Source organism: Homo sapiens, chromosome 20 (assembly GCF_000001405.40).
Source record: "Homo sapiens chromosome 20, GRCh38.p14 Primary Assembly".
NCBI lineage: Eukaryota > Metazoa > Chordata > Mammalia > Primates > Hominidae > Homo > Homo sapiens.
Window position 1 is genome coordinate 489,243 of NC_000020.11, and position 12,441 is coordinate 501,683.

Genomic DNA, 12,441 nt, shown 5'->3' on the forward strand with positions numbered 1-12,441 from the left:
AGTTATTGACTTTAATGGAATTCAGGTTGTATTCTTTGACTCATTAAAATTGGACATGGTGCTCAAAGGGAACAAGACAATGGTACCTTCCACAAGGTCCTAGAATCATTCCAGGTTCTTGTGAATGAAAGAGCCCTTTGATCTTCAAGGGGGAAGTGGAGTTAGTTTAAGAAACATCTGTAACTCAACCCATATAAAGAGCCAAAAGGATCACAGAAATACCACATATGGGCTCACATATTGGAGAAAACACCATATTGGAGATAAGGGTTTATTAGGAGAATTCTAAGGTAATGTCCTATTTTAAAAATCTGGATGACAATTTATATGTATTCTTCACAATAAAATAAGCAATGCAAATGACAAAGACTAGGGGGGAATGTCTGATTTCAAAAGGCTAAGCTGGTAGCTCCCGAAACATCAATCTAAGGATCAATATCGGGGTGGCTGAATAAACAGTGAACTGAAAGTTACAGGCAGTGCTGGCTATCATTGCATTAGGCCAGTACATTTTTCAATGGGTATAACATATATTACCTGATCATAATTGTCATGTCCATGGAAAAATGGCTCCTTCCGAAAGATCATACTTGCCAGCATACAACCCAAACTCCACATATCCAAACTATAATCGTACATCTGCATAAAAGTAAACTCACTGTTATTATCTGTGAATCCTCAGGCTTGTCACTTCAAAATAAAAAATTAATTTTTAAAATTAAAAAAAAATCACTCCACTGACTCAAAATCAAAACACTAATAACATCTTCATATATTTCTTTTTAGTCTTTCTTTTTTTTTTTTTTGGAGACAGAGTCTCACTCTGCTGCCCATGCTGGAGTGCAGTGGCGCAATCTTGGCTCACCACAACCTCCGCCTCCCGGGTTCAAGCAATTCTCCTGCCTCAGCCTCCTGACTAGCTGGGACTACAGGCGCGTGCCACCATGCCTGGCTAATTTTGTATTTTTAGTAGAGACGGGGTTTCACTACGTTGGCCAGTGGTCTCAAACTCCTGACCTCATGATCTGCTCGCCTCAGGTTCCCAAAGTGCTAGGATTACAGGCATGACCCACCGTGCCTGGCTAGTTTTTTCTTTTTTTTTTTTTTTTAGTTTTTTTTTTAGTTTTTTCTTTTATGCATCTTTCACTCGGTTTTAAAACAATTTTTACTTTTTTTTTTTTTTTTTGAGACAGAGTCTTGCTCTGTCGCCCAGGCTGCAGGGGTGTGATCTTGGCTCATTGCAACTCAGCTTCCCAGGTTCAAGCAATTCTCTGCCTCAGCCTCCTGAGTAGCTGGGATTACAAGCGCCCACCACCGCGCCTGGCTAATTTTTTTGTATTTTTAGTAGAGACAGGGTTTCACCATCTTGGCCAGGCTGGTCTTGAGCTCCTGACCTTGTGATCCACTTGCCTTGGCCTTTCCAAGTGCTGGGATTATAGGCGTGAGCCACTGTGCCTGGCTCTTTTTTTTTTTTTTTTAAAGACACAGGGTCTTGCTCTGTTGCCCAGGCTGGAGTGTAGTGGCGTGATCATAGCTCACTGCAGCCTCCAACTCCTGGGCTTAGGCCTCCTGAGTAGGTAGGATTACAGGCATACACCACTATGCTCAGCTAATATACATACTATTTTGAATTGTTTTCTTCACTTACATGAAAAAAAAAAAAAAAAAACCTCCAAATTGTTAGCCCATGGAGACCATCTAATGTGTATCATTAGTATTTTATTACATAAATGTTTCAGAATTCAATCTTTAATTTTCCTATAATAGGACAGTGTTCTGTTTTTCACAATTATTAGTAATACTGTAAAAACTATTTTTATGCATAAAATGCTTTTTGAACTCAGGGCTATAGCCTTAAGACCCCAAGAAAGAAATTCCTACAAGAACAAAAAGTCTGAAACTTTTAAAATCAACTGATAATAACCTGGAAAGACTGGGCATAAAAGATACTCCCAAGAAAACTTCAGATTTTTAAACACTTGGCAAATCTATTATTAATTTGGTTCCTTTCTCCTTTTTCTGTGAGGAGAAAGAAGGCTTTTTGGGGGAGCTGGGGAGAAGACCTTTTTATTTAGTATACAATTCAGAAGAACAAGAAAACATTCTTGAATTTACTCTGAAGATTGGTTAAACTTAGTTACAGGATGGGCATGGTGGCTCATGCCTGTAATCTCAGCACTTTGGGGAGCCAAGGTGTGAGGATGGGTTGTGCCCAGGAGTTTGAGATCAGCCTGGGCAACATAGTGAGACTTTCTCTCTACACACAAAAAAATTAAAAATTAGCTGGGTGTGGTAGTGCACGCCTGTAGTCCCAGCTACTCAGGAGGCTAAGCTGGAAGGATCACTTGAGCCCAGAAGTTCGGGGCTGCAGTCAGCTATGATCATGGCATTGCACTCCAGCCTGGGCAACAGAGCAAAACCCTGCCTCAGAAAACAAACAAAAGGCCGGGCGTGGTGGCTCACGAGGGCAGGAGATCGAGACCATCCTGGCTAACACAGTGAAACCCAGTCTCTACTAAAAATACAAGAAAAATTAGCTGGGGTGGTGGTGGGTGCCTGTAGTCCCAGCTACTTGGGAGGCTGAGGCAGGAGAAAGGTGTGAACCTGGGAGGCGGAGCTTGCAGTGAGCCGAGATCATGCCACTGCACTGCAGCCTGGGCGACAGAGTGAGACTCCGTCTCAAAACAAAAACAAAAACAAAAACAAAACAGCTTACAATTCAAAACAGTTCTGGAACTGCTGATTATAGAACATATCTTTGGCTACTTTCCCTCAAGTCAGGATCAAATGCAAACCTATTCATATTCTACCGACATTATGACAATAAAAGTAATGTAAGTCATGGTACATGAATTAAGGTGATTTATATTTTACATTTCATATAAAAAGGACAGCTGTGAATGTGCATTAAGTGGCCTACCTAAATGCACAAAATGATACTTTTTTTTTTTTGGTAAATTATGTGCGAAATAAACACAGGATCAAAACTGTGCCTGCCCTTCTGTTCTTACCTGATAGTCTACAAGTAGCTCAGGACCTTTGAAGTATCGGGAAGCAACTCGGACATTATATTCTTGGCCAGGATGATAAAACTCAGCCAAACCCCAGTCTATTAGTCGTAGCTGAAAAAGAATAAACCATGAGCAATCTTATCTTTCTCTAAGCTACCCACACTGTGCCATTAGCATACTCTTGATAAAATATACCAGACACGTCACTCTTTACTGAAACCCCTCCACTGACTACTTATAGCCTTTAGAATGAAAATAAAACTTCTTAGCTTGACAAACCTCTTTCTCCATGATTTTGTTCCTGGAAGACACAATCTCACCTGTGCTTTTACAAATTTCTTAAACTGCTCAATGACTAAAATGTCCCTACTACCCAGCCTATAATCCTATTGGTAAGCATTTCCTTAACTTTTGGAATATTTAAGTCAGCTTCTCAATGAAGTCTGATCATTGCCTTCAGCCCCCTGAATTTTAGATATATTTCTTTAACAGAACCTAAACTCTTTATGTTTTCTACCTTTCTTTTTCAATATGGACGACAAGCTCCTTAGGGGTAGGGACTGTTTTATTCACCTTTGTAATTTTCAGAATTCAACATAATGCCTGGTATACAGGAGAAAAATGAATAAATATTTGCTGGATAGATGAAATAACAGAAAAGTCATACAATACAGCTTTTACCAAAATGCATCCTAAACATGGAAAAAGGGGTAAGAGGCAAGCTTATCTGCCCACTGTGCATAGCATGACCATGATCTGAAGTGCCAGCAGTAGGCCCTGAGGAAAAACATCGGACTGCTCTGGCACTAAGTTTACTGCCTGTATCTCAAAACTAAACCTTTGATTACTCCCTGCAAAAGCACCTCCACTCAGTCTCCCCCTGTTCGGTTAAAGGTGATACTCATCCTGTCATACAAGCCAAAACTTAAGATTCACCCTGGATTCTTGATTCCCTCAGACCTCACATTTAATCTGTCAAAAAATTCTGAAGGTTCTATCATATTGTGACCATTATCATCACCTCCACTGCCACTGCCCCGATCCAAGCCACCACCACCTCTTGTTTGATATATTGCCATAGCCCCTTCTCCTAACTGGTCTCACTGCTTTCACTCTTGCCCTCTAGTCTAAACAGTTTAATAAATACTAAATAGTTTAATAGTTATTTTAAAAATAATTAAATATTTAAAAATAAATATAAACAGCTTTTTAAAAGGATTGTTCAGGTTGCTATGGAGAGATTATAGATTCACAGGAAATTGCCAAAGTAGTAGAGATTCTCTGCACCCTTTACCCAGTTTCCCCTAATAGTAACATCTTACATAACTACAGTACAATATCAAAATCAAGAAACTGACACTGGCACAATTCAGAAAGATCTTATTCAGGTTTCACCAGTTTTACATGCACGCATGTGTTTGTGTGTGTGTTTCTATGCAATTTCATCACATATGTAAGTTGATATAATCTCCTCAACAAGATATAGAACTGTTCCATCACCACACACATGTCCTGTGTGTTAGCCCAACCCCTGGCAACCCCTCTGCTCTTTATCTCTATCATTTTGAGAATGCTACAAAAATGGAGTCATTGGCATATAACTTTTTTTGAGACTGCCTTTTTTCACTAAGCATGAGATCCATCCAAGTTGTTGCATGTGTCATACTTCTTTCCTTTTTATTGCTGAGAAATACTACTTCATAATAATATTATATGGTATGGATATGCCAGTTTGTTTAACCATTCCCTCATTGAAGGGCACTTTTCCCCATTTTTTTTTTTTTTTTTTTTTGAGACGCAGTCTCGCTCTGTCACCCAGGCTGGAGCACAGTGGCACGATCTCGGCTCACTGCAACCTCCGCCTCCGGGGTTCAAGCAATTCTCCTGCCTCAGCCTCCTGAGTAGCTGGGATTACAGGTGCATGCCACCAGGCCCGGCTAATTTTTGTATTTTTTTAGTAGAGACAGGGTTTCACCATGTTGGCCAGGCTGGTCTTGAACTCCTGAACTCGTCATCTGCCTGCCTTGGCCTCCCAAAATGATTACAGGTGTGAGCCACTGCACCCAGCTTTTCCCCCCAATTTTAAGCTATTACAAATATAGTTGCATTCATATATAGGCTTTTGTGTGGACCTAAGATTTTGTTGCTCTGAGATAAATGCCACTGCAGGATTGTATGGTAAGCATATGTTTAGCTTTTCAAGAAACCAACCAACTATAAAACAATAGTTAAGCATTTTCCAAAATGCCAAACTTTGCATTCCTACCAGCAATGTATGAGAGATCAAGTTTCTTCACATTTTTGCCAGCACTTGGTACCATCACTATTTTTTATTTTAGCTGTTCTAATAAATGTGTAGTTAACTTTTAAATTTCAAGTGAGAACATGCTAAAGCTTAGAATATGCAAAAGCTCTCTATCTTCAGAGAAAAGGCCTAACAATGACCAATAAGGTTTTACATGATTTGGTTTTACCTCTTTGATTTCATTTCCTCCTTCTTTCCCCGCATTCATTCTGTCCCAGCTTTATCCTTGCTGCTGCTCTTCCAACATGCCAAACATATCCTTACCTGAAGGGCTTTTGTACTTGCTATTTACTCTGCCTTGGGACATGTTTCTTCATAAGACTGCATGGCTGGGTCCCTCCCAGTGCTCTCTAAAATGTCACCTTTCCAATGAAACCTTCCCTTATAACTGGTTTAAAACTGCAAATACCCTCTTGCCATTCCCTATTCGTTTTTTCTTCTACATCAAAATAACTTTCTATCCCACCAGCCTCCCTAAATGTAGCTCCTAAAAGACAAGCATTTATTGTATGTTGAGTTCACTTACATATCCCCAGCCCTAGGGTGGTGCCTCTGACATGGTGTGTGTCTAAAAGTAATTCAGTTGCATAAATAAATCACCTGCCTCCCCAGAGACCACAACAGGCAAGTCATCACAGCTTGTCACCTTAAAAAACTGAAATGCTAAAGCATGTGGCCATTACAGCTCTCATGTAAAAGCATTTGCAGACAACAGGGCCCTTATGACATCCAATAAACAGAAACAGCATTTTCTGTATATCTCGTCCACTTAACTGTGCACATTTAATTCTCACGAATACCTAGTCGCCTGCAGGGCTATTATTACCCACACTGTACACGTAAGAAAAAGAAGGCAAATGGAGAGAAAGTAGTTTCTCAGGAAACCAGTTACTCAATAAATAAGGCGAGAAGCCACGTTTCCGGGCTTAGAAGATGAACATTTTGCCCACTTTACTCATGTTTCCTTCTTGGGAATATTCTTAGGAATATAAATAATGGTTCAAACATGTTGACTTGTAAATTCGTACATTCATTCACCAAATATTTCTCAACTGCCGAATAGGTACTAGGGCCTGTGACAACACAAGGGATAAAGTGTTGAAGATGGGCAATTAGCTACATCATGTAGATAAATAACACTTGTCAGCCTATCACTTTACCTTTCTGTGCTCATGATCAATCATGACATTATGGGGCTTGACATCTCTGTGCATAATTCCCATGCTGTGACAATAATCCAGGGCCTGTGGGATGAACGGGTCAGAAAGGAGTTAGCCTGAATAATACGTAAGAGTCCTTTACTTTTCCCTCCATGTAAATTTTCCTTTTAGCCTCACAATACCCCTGGGATTCAAGCTGAGGACACAGTCACTTCCACAGCAATGCTTCAGAGACTTGTTCATGATCTCACAGTCAAGCAAACTCAGCTCTCTGAGCTTAGAGATCTTTTTCTGACACAGTTGTTTCAACATGTTTTCTGTCCTAAAAGACCCAAAGTATACCCAAATTGCACCACTTCAAATTTTTCTGTCTTGTCCAGATCCTAGATTATTTCCACAGACCCCTCAAAGAAAGAAAACAGATCTTTACTACAAACCTCTTATTCTAAGAACAGTAATTCTTTAGCCATTAAGAGTCTGTAACAGAGGTTGGCAGACCACAGGCCAAATTTGGCCTGATGTCTGCTTTTGTAAATAATGTTTTATTGCAACATAGCCATGCCTATTTGTTTGCATATTGTTTATGGTTGCTCTTGTGCAACAACAGCAGACTTGAATAGTGTGACAAACACTACATGGCCCACAAAGCCTAAAATATTTACTATTTGGCCCTTTAAAGAAGTTTGCCAATGCCTGATTTAGGTCATCAAATCCAATCTGAAATGTTTCCAACCTCAAACTAAAGGGAACTGAGTAGTATAATCTTTGGGGTTTGTTAATCCCAGCCTTTCAGTCAGCCGACGTTGTTGGCCAAATTCTTGTCCTTCCTGAAGGGCAACTTGGGTTCCTACAGTTCCCAGGGCTGGGCAATCATATCTGTAACTTTCTAAAGCCTTGCTTGCCACAAACTGCATGAGCCAATGGAAAGATCAAGTATCTCTGCTGGCACAATCTCCTCAGGGGATTTCTAAGGCTCCAACAGCAGGCTTTATGTCAACTCTTGTTTAGTAAGAAAGCTTAGCCAACTTTTAGCAATTCTCTCTTCTAGGAAGCTGATCTTGTGGCTACTGGGAACAAGATATTTGGTGACCCCACTTTAGAAATGTAAGTAAATTTTCAATTAGCATCTATAAGCAGAAATTTACACAATCCTTAGGACAATTACCCTTTGAGAACTGAGTTAAAGTTTACTGTTTTATTTGCTGACTCTTAAGTGAGATAAAGTATACCAGAAGCTAGCACGTCAGGTGTTTTCACGAGTTTTGAAAATTTAATATTAACTTACATAGGGGCCACAGAAATTACAAATATTTGTTAAGGGGTCAGTCCCAGCTATCTTACAAATACCCTTTTTCAAATTGTTCTAAATTATACTCCCACTAGACCCCATTCCATAACCCTTAGCACAAGGGTTCTGATACTATTATTATTAATTTTTATTTATTTATGTATTTAGAGACAGGGTCTTACTCTGTGCTACTGCACTCCAGCCTGTGCAACAATCATAGCTCACTGCTGCCTCAAATTCCTGAGATCCTCCTGTCACAGCCTCCCAAGTAGCTGGAATTACAAGCATAAGCCACCATACCCAGCTAATTTTTAAATTTTTTGTAGAGACAGGGTCTCACTATGTTGCTCAGGCTGGTCTTGATCTCCTGGCCTCAAGCAATCCTCCTGCCTTGGCCTCCCAAGTAGCTGGGACTTACAGGTGCACACCACCATGCCCAGGTAATTAAACAATTTTTTTTTGTAGAGATGGGGATCTCACTATGTCACCCAGGCTGGTCTTTTGATCTCCTGGCCTCAAGCAATCCTCCTGCCTCAGCCTTCCAAAGTGCTGGGATTACAGGTATGATACTATTAACTTATTAAAAACTTATATAGAGGTCCCTTCTTTCAACATACTTTACAAAGTTAATCTGCTGGCTTTTCTACCATCAATTGACTATTTAACAAAAAGAAGACCAATTTAAAAAATATTTAGTATTCAAGGTTCACTTACCTTCAGAATCTCATACATGTAAAATCGAATATCATAGTCTGTTAACGTCTGGTACAATTGCTGTTAAAGACAAATGTTTGAGCCATGAAATAATGCTGACAGAAAGGCATTTTTCACCCTCACTCACAGTAATTCAAACCAAGACTTGGCTCATTTACCGTTGTTCCAAGATCTGTCCATTCACTGCCCTCTATTTCTCCAACATTACATTAACTTTAAAGAGATACTTTGGGTCTTCAACTCTTAAAAATGAAGAATTACTTAAACATATATTGCGGAAGCTATAATCCACTGTCAGAAACATACTGATCTAGATACGTTAATATGCACTGACACCCACCTATAATTTAGTTTGCTTTTCATGTATCTTCAGACCTTCTCAAAAGAGGCATTTTGGCAAATATACTGCCTCCTTAGTAGGGAACTAACTCATCTTTGCCTTACATAGTTGGCCCTGCAGATCACCAGTGGGTATGCAGATGGCATGATACCAAACCTGTTGAGTCAATTTAACAAAACTATTCTTGTTCCAATTGGAAAGTAAACTCTGAACAACTGTTATGTATCCTTTCCAGTTTCCAAAGAGTTGCAGAATGTTTTTTACATGGACATATCTTTTTTTTTTTTTTTTTTTTTTGAGACAGGGTCCTCACTCTGCTGCCCAGGCTGGAGTGCCGTGCTGCAATCATAACTCACTGCAACCTCAAACTCCTGGGCTCAAGCGATCCTCCTACCTCAGCTTCCCCAGTAGCTAGGACTACAGGCGAAAGCCACCATGCCCAGCCACAGGTACGTCTCTTTAATGGTTAGCAACGTCTTCTGACAAAGTTTTTCTTGAAATTATCATTCTGACTCTAAAGCAGTTCCTCTTCCTTTCTCCCTATCTCTGCAACAGAATTCACTAATTTATTAATATATAACATTCTGGATACTGGACTGGTGGAAAGGCAAATCGAAGATTTTTACTTTTACTCCAAAAGAGTAGCTATATTCTTCTGTAAAATTGGAACTGTGTGAAATAAGTAGGCCACTGGATAGACTGGAATTCTGAGATATCTCTTATAGAGGTTTGTGTTATGGCAGAATTTGACATTATCCTTCCTCGATCCCTGCCTTTTAAGATCTATAGCCCACAGTTTATGAGGAATCCTAAGAAATAAGCAGTCCCTACTTTTATACATACAATATATTTCTTCCTGAACACTATTGTTTAAAGCGAATTGCCATATGGCCAGATCCTAAGTGAACGTGTGTTACTGCCTTCATTAGGTTGGACATCAGCAGAAACTGTCAACTAAGTAGTGAGAAGTCAATGTGTTGGTCATTAAAAAGAACATTAAACAAATGGGCAAAATATCAAGATGCAGAAAGTGGGCACTGCTTATATAGGAGTTCTTCTATCTTAAAATTTGCACTGTAAGGATGAAAAGCTTTTTAAAAACAAATGCGAAGCAAGCTCTTCTAACAGCATCATCCCCAAAGGCTATGTGGTCTAAAAACCCACTAGCCCGAAACAGTTGGTTATATATTATACCTTGAAGTCTGTGTTGTTTACGTGTTCAAAAACCAAGGCGGGGGTTCGTGACTAGGGGAAAAGAACAAAAACAAAAACACACATTAGCAATAGCCCTGACAGCTTTAATGGGGACAATGTTTGCGGATGCTGCGTGGTGAAATTTGGCAGTCCTCGCCTCAGTAGTAAGAAACCCTCTATTGCTACAAGCCCTCCCCGCTCTGATCATCACCGCACTTAGGTCATTTTTGGGATGGATTTCAAACAGAAGACATGGAGCTGAAGTCTCACCAGGCTCTAGGCAGCCCGACAATGCGCCCATCGCCCATCGGCATCGGACCTGAGTTTGCAAAATGGATTAACACATTTCAGTTTCCAGTGCTATCAGTCTCTTAGCCTAGAAGAATAAGAAATAGTCTGTGGGTGGAGGTCTCTTTGAAAGAAAGACCCAAGCTAGTTAAATGGTATATCTGATTAAGCACTTTCAAAGCAGGACTTAATGATGAGGGTTGGGGGAGGGAACAAAAAGAGGCCAGTTGTGCTCCAGGTCAAACACCATCTCAGCTCTGGCGGGCCTTGCTAACACCTACTATACTCACCACAGGGTCTTTTACAATGTCTGCCAGTGTGATGATGTTGGGACCTCCTCTCAAATTCTCCAAAATCTTTATTTCACGCTTAATTTTCTTCTTTTTTACTGGCTGAAAGGGGAAAAGTACATCAGCAAAAAAAAAAAAAAAAAATTTTTTCAGAGTATTTCAACACGTAGTGTAATACATAAATGATAAATGGCTTACTTATGAGCACACCTTGAAGGAAGAAAATGTGTCACATTCGTCTCTGAATCCTTCTCCTAGCACTGTGCCAGGTATTCTGCAGGTACTTACAAATGTTGAATTGAAAGAAAAAAAGATTTCTATTCCAAAGACCAGACACTTCTGCAGAATTAGCATTTCAATCATCAGTCTTGATGTTAATGTTTTAAAACATGTTAAACATGTTAATGTCTTAAAACCTTACAAAGTAGCAATTTAAATCGTTAGTAATACTAAAGTATATCAAACTTTTTATCAATTAGGATGAAACATGGGCCCTTTCCATTTCTTCCTCTAATTAGGGCCAACAACAAGGATGGCCAAAACATCTTTGTGTAGCACAACCCTGAGGGTAAAGGGTGAGTCTTGGAGTCACAATGCCCAATGTGAAACCTACCTTTACTACCTGCTGGCTGTTAATGGCAAACTACATAACCTCTCTAAGCCTTTCATTAAGTGTAAAATGAGTAACAAGAGTACCCATCTCATAAGATTGTTGCAAGAATCAAATGAGGTATTCGAAAGATTTCGGAATATGGCTGAAACATAACATAATAATAACTGTCTAGCCTGATCACCAATGCTCTTTTTTTTTTTTTTTTTTTTTTGAGACAGAGTCTTGCTCTGTCACCCAGGCTGGAGTGCAGTGGTGCAATCTTGGCTCACTGCAACCTCCGCCTCCTGGGTTCACGCCATTCTCTTGCCTCAGCCTCCCGAGTAGCTGGGACTACAGGCACCCGCCACCAGGCCAGGCTAATTTTTGTATTTTTAGTAGAGACGGGGTTTCACCGTGTTAGCCAGGATGGTCTCGATCTCCTGACCTCGTGATCTGCCTGCCTCGGCCTCCCAAAGTGCCAATACTCTTATAAATGAACCCCTCCATTCTAAAGAGTATTCTGCAGAGCATATCTTAAACATTCCTTTGTCCTTACCCATTCTTTCCACATCTGTTCTAGTATGGAATCCTTTTCATTTTTTTCTGAGGAGGGCCTTGGTCCCACTGCACCTCCTTTATAAAGCCTTTTTTTTTTTTTGAGACAGAGTCTTGCTCTGTCGCCCAGGCTGGAGTGTAGTAGCATGATCTCAGCTCACTGCAACTTCCGCCTCCCGGGTTCAAGCAATTCTCCTGCCTCAGCCTCCCGAGTAGCTGGGATTACAGGCGCCAGCCACCATGCCCAGCTAATTTTTGTATTTTTAGTAGAGACAGGGTTTCATCATGTTGGTCAGGATCGTCTCGAACTCCTGACCTCATGATCCGCCTGCCTTGGCCTTCCAAAGTGCTGGGATTATAGGCATGAGCCACTGTGCCTGGGCTTATATTATAAAGCCTTCTCCTGAATAGTCTAAAACAGTGCTGGCCCAAAGGAAATATAATACAAACCACATGTGTAATTTTAAATGTGTTAGTAGCCACATCAAGAAAATTTTAAAAAGGACAAAATTAATGTACTTTATTAATCTAAAATCTTAACATATAAATCAATATAAAAATTATTAATCTATTTTACCTTTTTTTGTATTAAACCCTTGAAATCTAATGTATTTTACTCTTACAGCATATCTCAATTCAGCCCAGCCATATTTCAAGTGCTTAACAGCCTCATGTGGCCTGCGTGCCTGCTGTACTGGACTGTG

At 40.1% G+C, this 12,441-nt stretch overlaps 1 protein-coding gene across 5 annotated transcripts in view; it reads right to left on the reverse strand.

Moving 5' to 3' along the window:
* The window catches only part of CSNK2A1 (casein kinase 2 alpha 1), a 71,293-nt gene that overhangs the window by 16,745 nt on the left and 42,107 nt on the right, over positions 1-12,441 (reverse strand). For all 5 annotated transcript variants that reach the window (NM_177560.3, NM_001362771.2, NM_001895.4 and 2 more), the window contains 6 exons: positions 10,591-10,692; positions 10,013-10,063; positions 8,479-8,538; positions 6,477-6,560; positions 3,012-3,122; positions 538-639 (listed from right to left, as the gene is read on the reverse strand). In NM_177560.3, the coding sequence (NP_808228.1) occupies positions 538-639; positions 3,012-3,122; positions 6,477-6,560; positions 8,479-8,496 (315 nt within the window). In that variant the 5' untranslated portion in view covers positions 8,497-8,538; positions 10,013-10,063; positions 10,591-10,692. The remainder of the gene's footprint in view (positions 1-537; positions 640-3,011; positions 3,123-6,476; positions 6,561-8,478; positions 8,539-10,012; positions 10,064-10,590; positions 10,693-12,441) is intronic.